General features: G+C 45.9%; 1 annotated feature.

Moving 5' to 3' along the window:
• Positions 12080-12149: an enhancer, noted in NCBI's record as "active region_29750". NCBI's record gives its function as "activates an Ori minimal core promoter by ATAC-STARR-seq in GM12878 lymphoblastoid cells {active_cell/tissue: GM12878}" and the evidence as "EXISTENCE:reporter gene assay evidence [ECO:0000049][PMID:35858748]".

Below are 18132 nucleotides of genomic sequence, written 5' to 3'. Positions count from 1 at the left end.
CCCTGTCTCTCTCACCTTTCCTCTTGCGGTTCACTGTCCCAGTTCTGCCCTGTCACCGTTCTTTCCATCATAAGCATCTTTGCCCTCCCAGTGGCTTCATGTGGGTGGCCTTTCCTGCACGATTATTTCTGTGCTGTTGAGGAACACAATGGAGCCCCGTCCTCTTTCTGGAGCTGTTATGTCCCTCCGGTGCCACCATGCACACGGTCAGGTCATCTGGGCCAGTAACCTGCATGGCATCCTCAGTTCCTCTTAGCCCTCACCTTTGAACCTCAGTTACCAAATCCGGTCAGGTCTCCTCCTTAGTAGCCAGGTGGAGGCAGAAGCCACCTCCTGGTGGGTGGCGGAGCCAAAGGGAAGGTACAAGGAACGCTGAAGAAAAGGGCGGGTTCATCTCTTGGTTGGAGGCCGGGGCACTGAGTCTGTTCTGATGCCTGCGGGCCAACCTGGTAGAAACTGTGGGCTGGGAGCTACACGGAAGGTGGCTTCCACATCCTTGGCGTCCTATAGGCAGCCAACAGCCCCTTCTGCGGCTGGTCGGCTCCATACCCTTGATTTGAAAATGGCCAGCTGCTTTCCAGGGCAAGTGTCGATGCTAGGCCTGGCTGTTCTTGGATGGTCCCCATGAAATATCATTTCACCACCCCCAAGGCCGCAGGTTTTTGTGGATGTGATATTTCCATGTCCCTACTCAGTCTTCCAGATTGCCTCTCGAGGTCACATGAGATTTCCTCGAGCTCCCTGTTCTGCCTTCACCCTCCCCGACAGTTGGGATCGCCCGCTACCTTCAGCCGGAATCCTCGACTGGGTGGGCCCCAGATTCGGGCACAGATTCCGATTCCAGTGAGGAGGTGTGTGTAGGTTCTCCCTGCTCCCATCGCCAAGAGACTGGGTGTTGAATAGACAAAGACAGTAGAAATGCAGATACCATTCAAGGTTAGTGTGTGTGTGTGTGTGTGTGTGTGTGTGTGTGTGTGTGTGTGCGCGCGCCTGCATGAGCATGCCCCTGCATGCACCTGCTTGGGAATCAAATTAATTGAGGGTGCTCTCCCTTGAGCAAGAAAGAGATGATTCACAGAGTGGAGGCAGTGGTGAAGGATCCGTGAAGGATCGAATGCGCAAAAGCAGGGCTGAGATCTACCTTTGACAAGAGGTGGTGTTCAATTCTAACACCTAGGAGGGCACAGACTGGGACAAATGGGACATCCCCAAACACAGGGATGGGTGTCGGGCTCTCAGAATGCTGGAGGCACCACAGTAGGCTCCTGATCCTCTGCAGGATGGATGGGATGTCTCAGCACTCCCGTGTGTGGGTGCAGTGATAATGCCTCAGAGTTGCTGGTTGGTGTTTCATCTAGGAAGCGGGGATCTCCCATGGGAGGGTGCTGTGACTTGACATGGGCAGGGTGGGAACAGTGCAGGTGGAAAGCCAGAAAGAGGGACTGCCCTGGGACAGCTAGTCAGGCTCGGTACCTGCCTTCCCACATACTCTCACTGTGTCTCACTGCCGGGATGGGGTGGGACCATCACGCACATGGAGGGCCAATCACAGGCCTCAGAGACGTAAACAAATGGTGGTGGGGACCTACCCCATCCGCATCAAACCCCTCGCCTGAGAGGGTTGGCTTGATTCCTTGGGCCAAGGCTTTGACCCTGACACAGGTGTTTGTTTCTTGGGGGGATAACACAGTGGGCTGGTGTCTGGGGGAAGACGTGTGTCAGGGACTCTCCAGCTTGGGTTTTTGCCACCGGAGACATCTAGGCAGGTTCTGGTGGGGTGAGAACTCCACCCCTATCACTGCCCTGGGGGGCATGGGCCGTGGTCGACAGAGTGTGGAAGGGGAGAAACCCGTGGACAGAGTCATGGAAGGCGTGAACCCATCTCCCGGTGGCTGGATTTGCCAGCCCCGCCTCTCAGCACACCACCTCGGTTCCATATTCAGACCACCTCCCACACAATACTGAGGCTGTAACATGTACACCCCAGGCCATGGTCAGGCGGAGCCTTCCAGTTCTAGGGGATATAAGTGCAGAATCCGAGGTTCCTCGGATTAGCGCAATCCATCTGGGCCCCAGTGGAGAGGAAGAGGTTGAGCACCTCCCCTTATTCAGTGACCCCCTTTTGCTTTTCCCTCAAGCCTGCTCTCCCACCAAGAGGATTGTGGGGTCTGGGCTGGAGAGCCTTAGACCCTCTCCTGCCTTGTCCTGCCACTCAGCTCAGACGGGCTCCGGAGGTCTGGCGAGCTGAGTGCCTGCCCTTGATGCAGCCACAGTGGCAGAGCCCTGAGCAGAATCCCACCTACACCCGGCGCCAGGGCTGCCACAGGTACATTTCCAGATGAGACCTCTTACTCTGTGGGCAGAAAAGACCATCTCCTCTTCAGACTCCAACTAGGGCCAAAGGTGTGTGAGTCTCCTCACACGCCCGCCAGCCAGAGTCCCCAAGAGTGGCCTTCCAGGCTGTGGCCGAGGCCCAGGGCACCATACGCAGGGATGTGAGATGGCAATCATGGGATCACAGTGGTCATGGTGAGTAACAGCCATGAACTTTAGCCTGCCTGGAACACACTCCTGGATGAACTTGGACAACCTCATGCACATCTGTCCTTAACCTCCACCCCAAGAACTCCTCTTTTCCCCCACACATTTTCTCATCATCCCTTTCCTTGAAGGATGAGGCCAACACCAGTGTTTGCCAGGTACGGCCGCATAGGCTATGGCCGCCAGGGTGGCCATGCAAACTCTATCTGTGGGATTCCAGGGTGCTCCGTTCTCATGATCCAGCGTGAACGGCGCCCATGTGGTTGTGCAATGTTGAAGTCCAGGTCACTACCATGCAGAGCGAGGAACAGAAGGTTGGCAGGGTTTTGGAACCCTCCTGTTTGCCCCAACCCGATCACTACCTCCCCCTTTGCACACCCCAGAGGTAATCACTGTGCTGACTTTTCCAATAATCACTCACTTTCTTTTACAGGGCTAATAATTCCCAGTTAATAACCCTCACCAAGATATAAAAGTTAGAGGCAGCTAAATGTAAAATTATATGTTTGAAACATAATACACACACACACACACATACTCTCTCTCACACACACCCACGCATACACACACACTTACAGAGAGAACTCAGAAGCCGGCCCTCTGACAAACAGTTGTAAGGTGATCAAGCCAGGTAACTACTACTGAGGTTATGAAACTGTACATTGCACCTTCAGAGAATTGTGATCAGAATGTCTTTCTCTGAAGGAAGCCAAATGCACATGCATATACCGTGTGATTCCATTTATATGACATTCTGGAAAAGGCAAATCTGTAGCAACAGAAAACAGATTGGTGGTTGCCAAGGTCTGAGGGTTAAGACTAGGAGTTCACTACCAGAGGGCGTGAGGGAAACTGGGGGGGATGCCGATGCTCTATATCTATATATACCGTGCTGGTGTTTCCACAGCAGTATGAATTTACAAAATCCCATACAACTGTGTGTAGTTATAGTCCAATAGTCCTGACTTTTTAGAAAAAAAAAAAAGAATTGTCAGCAATACATCTTGAATTGATATTGACATTTAGTCAATACTTTTCGTGACTACAAAAAGTGTATCTTTCTCCCCAAATCTGTTAATGTGGAGAATTATAGCACTGTATTTTCTGAAGGGAAATTAAGTTTGTATTTCTGGGATGAAGCCAATATTAGTCATACCATATTAGGCGTTTTCCTTTTATATCCTGTAGGCTTCTGTGTGCTAAGATTCTGGTTCTGATTTTTGCTTCTATGTCATGAGCCTGTGATTTATCTGCAATATTTCTCTAAGTGTCCTTGCAGGATTTGGTATCGAGGTTATGCCAAGCTCATACAGTGAGTGGAGGATTGTTGCTCCCTTTCAATTTTCTGCACGAGTTTGTGTCAAATGGAAGATATGTATTCCTAGGATGTTTGTCAGAATATGGTGGGGAATCCTGGAGTTTATTAGTAGAAAGACTTTGACTACTCATATCTTTCTGTAATGATTCTGGAATGGTTCAGGTTGGCTGTTCCTTCTTGTGTCAGTCTTGGCGGATTTGGTTTCCTAGCAATTGGTGACTTTTTCGTTGTTTTCAAACTGACTGGAATAAAATGGTCCATAATACGCCCTTCATCCCAGATTGCATTTGTTTAAATTTTGGAGCCACAGGAGAGTTGCAGGGAAAGCACAAGGAGCACCCATACGTATATTCTTCTACTGGATCCTCCAGTTGTTACCATTTTCTCACATTTGCTTCAGCCCTCCCTCCATGCCGCGCCCCCATCTTTTTCTGAGCGTGTGGGTGTATTTTTTTTTTTTATTGTTTTGTGGAATCATTTGAGATCCGTTGGAATCATTTAGATCCATCATCGGTAAATACTGCAGCATGTATCGCCTGCAAGGAAGCATGGGCTCCCACAAAACCTTAATGCCACCATGACACTCAGGAAATGTAACATGGAGACCACACAATTTTCTACTGTATGATCACATGAAACATTCTCCGATTTTCCCCATGGTCCCATAGTATCCCTCATAGCTGCTTTCTAACAAAATTCTCTTTCCAACCAAACATCATACTTTGCATTTAGTTGTCAAGTCTCTTTTGAGACAGGGTCTCCCTCTGTCTCCCAGGCTGGTGGGCAGTGTCACGAACCCGACTCACTGCAGCCTTGACCTCCCAGGCTCAAGCCATCCTCCCACCTCAGCTTGGACCTCCTGAGTAGCTTGGACTACAGGCATGCGCCACCGTGCCCAGCTAATTTTTAAAATACTTTTTGTAGAGACGGAGTTTCACCATGTTGCCCAGGCTCGTCTGGAACTCCTGAGCTCAAGCCATCCACCCGCCTAGGTCTCCCAAAATGTTGGGATTATAGGCGTGAGCCATGGTTCCCAGCCCGTCAAGTCTCTTCAGAGGCCTTTAAAGTGTGCTTTAAAGCAATGTTTAAAATGTGCTTTAAACCAGTGCAGTTGTTTTCAGGAAGCCCTTGAACTTGGGTTTGTCAAATGGCTTCCTTGTGATTAAACTCAGGTAAGTTTAACATTTTTGACAAGACTACTGCACAGCAAATGTGTTGTCCTTCTTGGTGCATGACATCAGCAGATTCTCCATGTAGGCTTCTCTTATGACTCGTGATGTTCATCTTGACCATGTGGCCAGGGCGTTGTTCCAGATTACTCCATTGTGGAGGTGCCATCTTCTCTTTGTATTTAATTAGCTATGTGCTGTTACTGCATGGGCACTCCGTGTGAATATCCAGTTCCCCCACCATATCCTCTTTCTATCTTTTGGATGTCTGCCTATCATATGATTTGGATCTGTGTCCTCAGCAAGTCTCGTGTCAAACTGTGACTTCTAATGCTGGAGGTGGGGCCTGGTGGGAGGTGACTGGATCATGGGGCTGGATTTCTCAGGAATGGTTTAGCACCATCCACTTGGTACTGTCCTCACGGTCATGAGTGAGTTTTCATGAGTCTGGTCATTTAAAAGTGTGTGACACCTCCCCCTGCTCTCTCTTGCTCTTGCTCCTACCATGTAAAATGTACCTGCTCCTGTTTCACCTTCTGCCATGATTGCAAGCTTCCTGAGTCCTCCCAGAAGCAGTAGCCACTACACTTCCTGTACAGCTTGCAGAACCATGAGCTCTTCTCTTTATAAATGTCTCGGTCTTGGGTATTTCTTTATAGCAACACAAGAACGGTTGTAACATCATTTGTGCTTATTTCTCCCTTTTCTTTCCTGATAGTGGTGCCCTTCTCCCTTGTTTTCTTGACCAGTCTCACAAGACTTTTACCAATTTCATTCCTCTTCCAAACACCCAACTTCTGGTTTTGTGATCCTTATGCTTGTTTCCACTTTCACTGATTTCTGCTTTTACCTTATTTCCTTCTACTTTCCTTGGTCTTATGTTGCTCTTGTTTTTCAAACTTTTTCTCATTAATTGTCTGCTATTCTATTTTATATGGTTTGGCTGTGTCCCCACTCAAATCTCAAGTTGAATTGTATCTCCCAGAATTCCTACCTGTTGTGGGAGGGACCCAGGGGAAGGTAATTGAATCATGGGGGCCAGCGTTTCCAGTGCTATTCTCATGATAATGAATAAGTCTCACAAGATCTGATGGGCTTATCAGGAGTTTCTGCTTTTGCTTCTTCCTCATTTTCTCTTGCCACCACCACATAAGAAGCACCTTTTGCCTCCTGCCATGATTCTGAGGCCTCCCCAGCCACGTGGAACTGTAAGCCCAATTAAACCTTTTTCTTCCCAGTCTTGGGTATGTCTTTATCGGCAGTGTGAAAATGGACTAATACAGTAAATTTGTACAAGTAGAGTGGGGCGCTGTTGAAAAGATACCCGAAAACATCGGAGCAACTTTGGAACTGGGTAACAGCCAGAGATTGGAACAGTTTTAAGGCCTCAGAAGAAGAGAGGAAAATGTGGGAACATTTGGAACTTCCTAGAGACTTGTTGAATGGCTTTGCCTAAAATGCTGATAGTGATATGGATAATAAAGTCCAGGCTGAGGTGGTCTCAGATGGAGATGAGGAACTTGTTGGGAACTGGAGTAAAGTTGACTCTTGTTTTGTTTTAGCAAAGAGACTGGCAGCATTTTGCCCCTGCCCTAAAGATTTGTGGAACTTTGAACTTGAGAGAGATGATTTAGGGTATCTGGTGGAAGAAACTTCTAAGCAGCAAAGGATTCAAAAGGTGACTTGCGTGCTGTTAAAAGCATTCAGTTTTAAAAGGGAAACAGCAACTTGAAGCATTCCCTTTGAAAACTGGCACAAGACAGGGATGCCCTCTCTCACCACTCCTATTCAACATAGTGTTGGAAGTTCTGGCCAGGGCAATCAGGCAGGAGAAAGAAATAAAGGGCATTCAGTTAGGAAAAGAGGAAGTCAAATTGTCCCTGTTTGCAGATGACATGACTGTATATTTAGAAAACCCCATCGTCTGAGCCCAAAATCTCCTTATGCTCATAAGCAACTTCAGCAAAGTCTCAGGACACAAAATCAATGTGCAAAAATTACAAGCATTTCTATACACCAAGAACACACAGAGAGCCAAATCATGAGTGAATTCCCATTCACAATTGCTTCAAAGAGAATAAAATACCTAGGAATCCAACTTACAAGGGATGTGAAGGATCTCTTCAAGGAGAACTACAAACCACTGCTCAATGAAATAAAAGAGGATACAAACAAATGGAAGAACATTCCATGCTCATGGATAGGAAGAATCGATATCGTGAAAATGGCCATACTGCCCAAGGTAATTTATAGATTCAATGCCATCCCCATCAAGCTACCAATGACTTCACAGAATTGGAAAAAACTATTTTAAAGTTCATATGGAACCAAAAAAGAGCCCACATTGCCAAGACAATCCTAAGCCAAAAGAACAAAGCTGGAGACATCACACTACCTGACTTCAAACTATACTACAAGGCTACAGTAACCAAAACAGCATGGTACTGGTACCAAAACAGAGATACAGACCAATGGAACAGAACAGAGCCTTCAGAAATAATACCACACATCTACAACAATTTGATCTTTAACAAACCTGACAAAAACAAGAAATGGGGAAAGGATTCCCTATTTAATAAATAGTGCTGGGAAAACTGGCTAGCCATATGGAGAAAGCTGAAACTGGATCCCTTGCTTACACCTTATACAAAAATTAATTCAAGATGGATTAAAGACTTAAATATTAGACCAAAAACGATAAAAACCCTAGAAGAAAACCTAGGTAATACCATTCAGGACATAGGCATGGGTGAGGACTTCACGACTAAAACACCAAAAGCAATGGCAATAAAAGCCAAAATTGACAAATGGTATCTAATTAAACTAAAGAGCTTCTGCACAGCAAAAGAAACTACCATCAGAGTGAACAGGCAACCTACAGAATGTGAGAAAATTTTTACAATCTACCCATCTGATAAAGGGCTAATATCCACAATCTACAAAGAACTTAAACAAATTTACAAGAAAAAATCAAAAAACCCCATCAAAAACTGGGTGAAGGATATGAACAGTCACTTCTCAAAAGAAGACATTTATGCAGCTAACAGACACATGAAAAAATGCTCATCATCACTGGCCATCAGAGAAATGCAAATCAAAACTACAATGAGATACCATCTCACACCAGTCAGAATGGCAATCATTAAAAAGTCAGGAAGCAACAGGTGCTGGAGAGGATGTGGAGAAATAGGAACACTTTTATGCTGTTGGTGAGACTGTAAACTAGTTCAAACATGTGGAAGACAGTGTGGCGATTCCTCAGGGATCTAGAACTAGAAATACCATTTGACCCAGCCATCCCATTACTGGGTATATATCCAAAGGATTATAAATCATGCTTCTATAAAGACACATGCTGACATATGTTTATTACGGCACTATTCACAATAACAAAGACTTGGAACCAACCCAAGTGTCCATCAATGATAGACTGGATTAAGGAAATGTGGCACATATACACCATGGAATACTATGTAGCCATAAAAAAGGATGCATTCATGTCCTTTGTAGAGACATGGATGAAGCTGGAAACCATCATTCTGAGCAAACTATAGTAAGGACAGAAAACCAAACACCACATGTTCTCACCCATAGGTGGGAATTGAAAAATGAGAACACTTGAATACAGGGTGGGGAACATCACACACCAGGGCCTGTCTTGGGGTGGGGGAAGGGGGGAGGCATAGCATTAGGAGATATAACTAATGTAAATGATGAGTTAATGGGTGTAGCACACCAACATGGCACATGTATATATATGTAACAAACCTGTATGTTGTGCACATGTACCCTAGAACTTAAAGTATAATAAAAATAAATAAATAAACAAATAAAAGAGAAACAGCATAAAAGTTCAGAAAATTTGCAGCCTGACAGTTAAGTAGAAAAGAAAAACTCCTTTTTTTGAGGAGAAATTCAAGCCGGCTGCAGAAATTTGCATAAAGAGCAAGGAGACTAATGTTAATCCCCAAGACCCTGGGGAAAATGTCTCCAGGCCATGTCAGAGAACTTCAAGGCAGCCCCTCCCATCACAGGCCCAGGGGCCCAAGAGGAAAAAGTGGTTTTGTGGGCTGGGCCCAGGGTTCCCATGCAGTGTGCAGCCTAGGAACTTGGTGCCCAGCCACTCCAGCCATGGCTGAAAGGGGCCAATGCAGAGCTCAAGCTGTGGCCTTAGAAGGTGGAAGCCCCAAGTCTTGGCAGCTTCCATGAGGTATTGAGCCTGCGGCTACACAGAAGTCAAGAATTGAGGTTTGGGAACCTCTGCCTAGATTTCAGAAGATGTATGGAAACGCCTGGATGCTCAGGCAAAAGTTTGCTGCAGGGGGAGCATTGTGGAGAACCTCTGCTAGGGCAGTGCAGAAGGGAAATGTGGAGTCGGAGCCACCACACAGAGTCCCTACTGGGGGACTGCCTAGTGGAGTTCCCATACAGGTGCACTTGATAATTATTTATTAAACTACGCACATAGATTGTGATGTTTTCTTTCTGTATGTTACTTACTGCCATAAGCAGAGAAAAAATAGTGGTAAGGGAAGTAACATTGCATTAAACAGTCAAGTATTTTATAACCAGAAGGATAACCAAAATTATTTTCTCTATTTATAGCAGATCTCTTTGAGAGTAGTAATATCAGTTTATTGATAAAAATAGTTTTATTTTCATATTCTCATAGATTTCACTAAACATCATAGGAGTGATGCTTACATAATTGGGATATTAATTTCGATGTTTTGGTAAGTATTTTATATTTGGGTGGTAAGTTTTCATTCACAGTTTGTGACTTTGTGCTGGAATCCCATGCACTTGGTACATTTTCTCAGGGGAGATTTGTCACCTCCCCATCCACTTATTCTCAGAGGTGGAGGACCAAGAACTGGAGAAAAAGAAATGACCAAAAAAAAAATCTAAAAACATGTGCCTTCAATGTAATACATGAATTTGACCAGGTGAGGGCAGTGCCGTTTTAAGCTGTTTGCTGGGATGCAAGTGGAGGCAGCTAGTGATCTCATGCCTTTTGAGTTTCTCCTCTTCTCTACTGTTAGCTGCTGGGATTGAAAGGGCCATTTGTGCCAATTAAAATGGAAGCAGTGTTGGCAATCCTTCTGATGGGCTGCATCTCCTTTGCCTGTTTGGCACTTCCATCCTAACGCCAACCTTGCCAGCTGCTTTCCCCAGCAACTCTTTTCTTCCTGTTTCTTCTCCTCAGGCCCAACTAAGACCACTGATGTGCTACACAAAGCACGGGGCCCTGACAAACAGAGAGATAGCAGGCTGGACTGTGCAGCCCTTTGGGGCCTTATTGTTGTGAATAAAGCCAGAGGCATTTTCCTAAAAAGTCAACCTCCATCCCAGGATGAGTTTCCCCTGCTTTTGTTTCTAGCCTTGTACTCCCTGAGGGTGGCTTGAGTGAAGGCTCCACACTGGTTTATGGCATTAATAGGGTCAAGTAGGACGAATGTTGGGATTATTTATTTCATCAATTGATGAAATGAAATAAAAACTATTCTCTGGGGCCAGGCTCAGTGGCTCATGCCTGTCTGGGAGGCCAAGGCGGGCAGATCGCTTGAGCTCAGGAGTTCAAGACCAGCCTGGCCAACATGGCAAAACCCTGTCTCTATGAAAAATACAAAAAAATTAGACAGGTGTGGTGCCACATGCCTGTAGTCCCAGCCACTTGTGGGGCTGAGGTGGGAGGATCGCTTGAGCCTGGAAGGTAGAGCCTGGCAGTGAGCCGAGATCACCACTGCACTCTAGACTGGATGACAAAGTGAGACCCCGTCTCCAAAACACACACACACACACACACACACACACACACACACACACACAAAACTATTACTGGTTCTGGGAGCCACCCCTCTGCCTAGAGATAAATAGCAATTTTCATGATAAGTACCACTCCATTCCCTGATTCCATTATTTAGAAGTCCAGCAACTGTAAGGACTTACTTAAGGTTGAGTGAGAAGCAGAAATCAAGGAACCACTTATGTTGAAACTTTACTTTACTACTTAAGTAAAGGGTCTTCTCAGATTCTCATTAGGGATTTTTCATCTTTTCCAACTACATTTTTTTTTTTTTTTTTTGAGACAGGGTCCCACCCTATCACCTAGGCTGGAGTGCAGTGACATGCTCATAGCTCACTCCAGCCTCGAACTCCTGGGCTTAAGCCATCCTCCTACCTCAGCCTTCCAAAGTGCTGGAATTCCAGGTGTGAGGCAGCACACCCAGCCTTTTTCATCCCTTTAGACTACATTTTCTTTATTGCTAATTCTATCATACCATTAGAAGAAATTTGAGGGAAAAAATTATTTTGCCCATAATGCTAGGACCCAAACACCTCAACTGATTTTTTTTCTCCATGGTTCCTGCTCTAAGATCATAGAAGTACAGAATATTGGAACTAGAAGAACTCTTGGAGAAATTTAACAGGCCAACTCATGGTCAGTGTGCAAGTGAGGAATCTAAGAGCTGGAGGGGCAGTGCCACGTCAAGGCCACCAGATAGTTCAAGGCTGCACCTCCGCAGTCTCCATTTTGTCCTTCAGCAGGGCAGAAACCACTCTATCTCCTCATACGCAGGCCTCATGTGGATTGATATCAAAGTTGGTGCAGCTTCTTCCCAACCTCTTGACTAGTTCTAAGCACTACAATACATCCCATTTGCTGTCAGTTACAGCTAGAGCCAGATTAACCCATGAGAGCATCTTGGGTGAAGGAGCAGCTATTGTCTTTACTCCATCCAGAGGACCTGTGGTGTGCTGGGGTCACCCAGGATGGTTGTCTCTGGCTATTGTGCAGTTCTGTACAGGCACAACAGATGGCAGAGTAAGGTAGGACAAGCGCTAGACGAGGAATCAAAAGACCTGGCTCTCTCCTAACCTACTGAAAATCACTTCCCCTTACAAAACCTCCATTTCTCCATCTGTGAAAACAGAAAGGTGGCCTGAAACAGTGCTTCTCAACCTGAGGTCCATGAACTTTTCTGAAATTGTGTGCAGAGTTGTGGGAGGTGGTGTTTGCAGTCTCCTAGGGAGAGGGTATAGAGCTTTCATCTCATTCTCAAAGAGTTCCTGTTATGGACTGAACTGTGTTTCCCCAAAATTCATACGTCTAAATATTAACCTCCGATGTGACTGTATTTGGAGACAGGGCCCTTAGGGAGGTAACTAAGGTTAAATGAGGGTGAGGCCTAATCCAATAAGACTGGTGCCCTTAGAAGAAGAAGAGACACCAGAGTGCTATCTCTCTCTCTCTCTGTCTCTCTGTCTCTCTATCTCTCTCCCCACCACCCCTTTAAGGACATAGTGAGAAGGTGACTGTCTGCAAGCCAGAAAGAAGACCCTCACCAGGAACCTAATTGCTGGCACCTTGATCTTGGACTTCTAGCCTCCAGAATTGTGAGAAAAATTTCCTTCGTTCAAGCCACCCAGCCTGTGGTATTTTATTATGGCAGCCTGAGCTGACTAATACGGGTCCTATAACCCAGAAAAGGTTCAGAGTCACTAGATCCACTGGTCCCCAGATACCAAGCTTGGGCATTCATGTTCTGCAGCAATGTGTCTCTAGATATTTTGTAGACTTCTTAAGTTTTGAACCTTTCATACACATATTTTACATAATTGTGATTATAGCATATATACAAATCTATTCTACCTTTTTTCTGCTCAGAATTGGGCAGCATATTTATTATTGCAACATACTGTGTTTTCTATTAGTTGCATAGCACAAGTTTGGATCTATATAAACCCATATCAGTTTAAGTCCTGATTCTACAACCTACTTATTACCTCTGTGACCTTGAGCAAGTTATAACGTATCTGTGCCTTGTATATAAAATGGGGATAAGGGCTGGGTGCAGTGGCTCACGCCTGTTATCCCAGCACTTTAGGAGGCTGAGGCGAGAGGATCACCTGAGGTCAGATGTTCAAGACCAGCCTGGCCAACATGGTGAAACTCCATCTCTACTAAAAATACAAAAATTAGCCAGGTGTGGTGGCACACGTCTGTAATCTCAGCTACTCAGGAGGCTGAGGCATGAGAATCACTTGAACTCAGGAGGCAGAGGTTGCAGTGAGCTGAGATCACGCCACTGCACTCCAGCCTGGGCGACAGAGCAAGACTGCATCTCAAAAAATAAAAATAAAAATAAAAATAAAATAGGGATAAGATTAGTATCTGTATTAGTCCATTCTCACATGGCTATAAAGAACTGCAAGACTGGATAATTTATAAAGAAAAGATGCTTAGCTGACTCACAGTTCTGCATGGCTGGGGAAGCCTCGGGAAACTTACAATTATGGTGAAAGGGGAAGAGGCATGTCTTACATGGTGGCAGGTGAGAAAGAGCAAGTGTGTGAAGGAGGAACTGTCAGACACATAAAACCATCAGATCTCGTGAGAACTCACTCACTACCACGAGAACAGTATGGGGGAAACCGCCCACATGATCCAATCACCTCCCACCAGGCTTTGTCCTTGACACATGGGGATTATGGGGATTACAATTCAAGATGAGATTTGGGTGGGGACACAGAGCCAAACCCTATCAGTATCTATCTCATGTGGCCATGATGATTATCAAATGACATAATGTATGTAGAGGACCAGGGATATATTAAAGTTTCAACAGATATTAGTAGCTCTTATCATTGTTGAATACTGAAGTTGTTACCAGGTTTTTTGCTTTTATAAATTATACTGCTGTGATCAAATTTCTTTGTACATAGAGAATTTTTTTTCTTTTAAGCAATTTCCTGAGGCTAAATTCCCTAGAGTAGTGTAACTGGGTCAATAGTTAGATTATTTTTTCTTATAATTTGGAGAATTTTTATTTTGTTTTTATTGAAATATCTCATTTATATTTACTTAACTGTAGATCTCTTCTGTGCATACATTTTTTAAATGTATTAGTCCACATAAGCAAAATAAATCAGTGAATTTATTTCTAGAAGTTCTTTATATTTAGCGTAGAACTCTTCTGAATCCTTTTTTACATTAGCGTTGTCTGCGTTGCTGGATCTGCACCCTATGCTATCCTTTGGTGGTACATCATTTATTGAAAGACTGTTTCACTGTTGGTTCCAGGATTTCCTTCCAAGCTGCTGAGATCCCATCTGCACACTTTCAATGAAGATGCTTTCTTGATCTTTTAAGGGGATTTCATGCACAGGCAATGACAACCTGATCACTAAAATATCAAATGGCCAACTGTCATCACTGACTGTCAGAAGCATTCTGATTTCAGAGACATAATTTTTTTAAAAAGTGTATATTAGGATCAATGAAGTATGCTAACTCACCACTATTGTGAATCCCACCTTCTTCAGATAGAATATTTTTTAATAAGTTTTATTGTATATATTTGAGGTTTACAACATGATGTTATGGAATACATATAGATAATAAGATGGTTACTATAGTGAAGCAAATGAACGTTATCACTTCACACAGTTACTTTTTTGTGACAAGAGCAGCTAAAAATCTACTTATTTAATAAAAATCCCTAATATATACAATTTTATTAACTCTAGTCTCATGTTGTACCTTAGGCCTCTAGACTTGTTCATCTTATGTAACTGCTACTTTAAAATCTTTTGCCTACATTCCCCCATTTCCTCCCTTTCTCCCTACCCTACCCCTGGTAACTACTATTGTATTCTCTCTATATATATATTTGACCTTTTTTAAGATTCTACATGTAAGTGAGCTCATGCTATATTTTTATTTCTGTGTCTGGTTTACTTCACTTAGTATAATGTACTCCAGGTCTATCCATGATGTGGCAAATGGCAGGATCTCCTTTTTTAAGGCTGAATAATATTCGTGTGTGTGTGTGTTTGTGTGTGTGTGTGTGTGTGTGTGAAAATAGATAAAGAAAATCAACTTAGGTTGTTTCCATATCTTGGCTATTGTGAATAATGCTGCAATGGACATGGGAGTGAAGATATCTTTATGAGGTGGTGATTTCATTTCCTTTGGGAAGGAGGTGAAAGATCTCTAGAAGAACTACAAGACACTGCTGAAAGAAATCAAAGATGACAAAAACAAGTGGAAATACATCCCACGCTCATGGATTGGAAGAATCTAGGCTGGGTGCAGTGGCTCACGCCTGTAATCCCAGCACTTTGGGAGGCCAAGGCAGGTGGATTTCTTGAGCCCTGGAGTTCGAGACCAGCCTAGGCAACATGGTGAAACCCTGTCTCTACAAAAAATACAAAAATTAGCTGAGTGCGGTCGCATGTGCCTGTGATCCCAGCTATTCAGGAGACTGAGGTGGGAGGATCGCTTAAGCCCAGGAGGCAGAGGTTGCAGTGAGCCAAGATCGCACCATTGCATTCCAGCCTGAGCTACAGAGTGAGACTCTGTCTCAAAAAAAAAGAATCGATATTGTGAAAGTGACCATACTGACTGTCCAAAGCAATCTACAAATTCAATGCAACTCCTATCAAAATACCAAAATCATTTTTCAGAAAATTAGAAAAAGAGGCCAGGTGCAGTAGCTTATGCCTGTAATCCCAGCATTTTGGAAGGCTGAGGCAGGAGAGTCCCTTGAGCCCAGGAGTTCAAGACCAGCCTGGGCAACAAAACAAGACCCCATCACTACAAAAAATTTAAAAATTAGCTGGGCATGGTAGCATGTGCCTGGTGTCCCAGCTACTCAGGAGGCTGAGGTGGGAAGCTGGCTTGAGCCCAGAAGGTTGAGGCTACAGTGAACCATGGGCATACCACTGCACCCCAGTTTGGGTAACAGAGTGAGACCCTGTCTCAAAAAAAAAAAAAAGAAAGAAAAAGAAAAGAAAAAAAAACTCCTGAAATTTATATGGAGCCAAAAAAGAGCCTGAATAGACAAAGCAATTCTAAGCAAAAATAATAAATCTGGAGGCATCACATTACCTGAATTCAAATTATATTACAAGGCTATAGTAACCAAAACGGCGTCGTACTGGTATAAAGCTAGATACATAGACCAATGGAACAAAATAGAGAACCCAGAAATAAAGCCAAATATTTACATACAACCAGTGGATCTTCAACAAAGCATACAAGAACATAAACTGGGGAAAGGATACCCTATTCAATAAATGGTGCTGGGAAAACTGGATAGCCACATGTACAAGAATGAAACTGGACGCCTATTTCTCACCATACACAAAAGTCAACTCGAGATGAATTAAAGACATAAATCTAAGACCTGACACCATAAAAATTCTAGAAGAAAACCACCAGGCACGGTGGCTCACGCCTGTAATCCCAGCACTTTGGGAGGCTGACGTGGGCGGATCATCTGAGGTTGGGAGTTTGAGACCACCCTGACCAACATGGAGAAACCCCATCTCTACTAAAAATACAAAATTAGCCAGGTGTGGTGGCATATGCCTGTATTCCCAGCTACTCGGGAGGCTGAGGCAGGAGAACGGCTTGAACCCGGGAGGCGGAGTTTGCGGTGAGCCGGGGATTGCACCATCACACTCCAGCCTGGGCAACAAGAGCGAAACTCCATCTAACAAAAAAAAAAAAAAATTCTAGAAGAAAACCTAGGAAAAACTCTTCTGGACATAGGCCTTGGCAAAGAATTTATGACTAAGACCTCAAAAGTAAGTGCAACAGAAGCAAAAATAAATAAATGAGACCTAATTAAACTAAAAAACTTGTGCCCCTCCCCCTCCCCCTCCCCCTCCCCCTCCCCCTCTCCCTCTCCCTCTCCCTCTCCCTCTCCCTCTCCATCTCCCTCCTCCCTCTCCCACACCCCTTTGCACGGTCTCCCTCTGATGCTGAGCCAAGGCTGGACTGTACTGCCGCCATCTCGACTCACTGCAACCTCCCTGCCTGATTCTCCTGCCTCAGCCTGCCGAGTGCCTGGGATTGCAGGCGCGCGCCGCCATGCCTGACTGGTTTTTGTATTTTTTGGTGGAGACGGGGTTTCGCCGTGTTGGCCGGGCTGGTCTCCAGCTCCTGACTGCGAGTGATCTGCCAGCCTCGGCCTCCCGAGGTGCCGGGATTGCAGAGGGAGGCTTGCTCACTCAGTGCTCAATGTTGCCCAGGTTGGAGTGCAGTGGTGTGATCTCGGCTCGCTACAACCTCCACCTCCCAGCCGCCTGCCTTGGCCTCCCAAAGTGCCGAGATTGCAGCCTCTGCCCGGCCGCCACCCCGTCTGGGATGTGAGGAGCCCCTCTGCCCGGCCGCCTAGTCTGGGAAGTGAGGAGCGCCTCTTCCCCGCCGTCATCCCGTCTAGGAAGTGAGGAGCGTCTCTGCCCGGCCATCCATCCTCTGGGATGTGGGGAGCGCCTCTGCCCGGCCGCGACCCCGTCTGGGAACTGAGGAGTGTCTCTGCCCCGCCGCCACCCCGTCTGGGAGGTGAGGAGCGTCTCTGACCGGCCGCCCCCTCTGAGAAGTGAGGAGGCCCTCCGCCCAGCAGCCGCCCCGTCTGGGAAGTGAGGAGCATCTCCGCCCGGCAGCCGCCCCGTCCGGGAGGTGGGGGGCAGACCCCGCCCGGCCAGCCGCCCAGTCCATCCGGGAGGTGGGGGGCAGACCCCGCCCGGCCAGCCGCCCCATCCGGGAGGTGGGGGGCAGCCCCCGCCCGGCCAGCCGCCCCATCCGGGAGGTGGGGGGCAGACCCCGCCCGGCCAGCCGCCCCGTCTGGGAGGTGGGGGGGCGCCTTTGCCCGGCCACCCCGTTTGGGAAGTGAGAAGCCCCTCTGCCCGGCCGGCACCCCGTCTGGGAGGTGTACCCAACAGCTCATTGAGAACGGGCCATGATGACGATGGCGGTTTTGTCTAATAGAAAGGGGGGAAGTGTGGGGAAAAGAAAGAGAGATCGGATTGTTACTGTGTCTGTGTGGAAAGAAGTAGACATAGGAGAGTCCATTTTGTTCTGTGCTGGGAAAAATTCTTCTGCCTTGGGATGCTGTTAATCTATAACCTTACCCCCAGCCCCGTGCTCTCTGAAACATGTGCTGTGTCCACTAAGGGTTAAATGGATTAAGGGCGGTGCAATATGTGTTTTGTTAAACAGATGCTTGAAGGCAGCATGCTCGTTAAGAGTCATCACCACTCCCTAATCTCAAGTACCCAGGGACACAAACACTGCAGAAGGCGGCAGGGCCC

The sequence above is a fragment of the Homo sapiens genome, chromosome X (genome assembly GCF_000001405.40).
Source record: "Homo sapiens chromosome X, GRCh38.p14 Primary Assembly".
NCBI lineage: Eukaryota > Metazoa > Chordata > Mammalia > Primates > Hominidae > Homo > Homo sapiens.
This window is presented reverse-complemented; position numbering and strand designations above follow the sequence as displayed.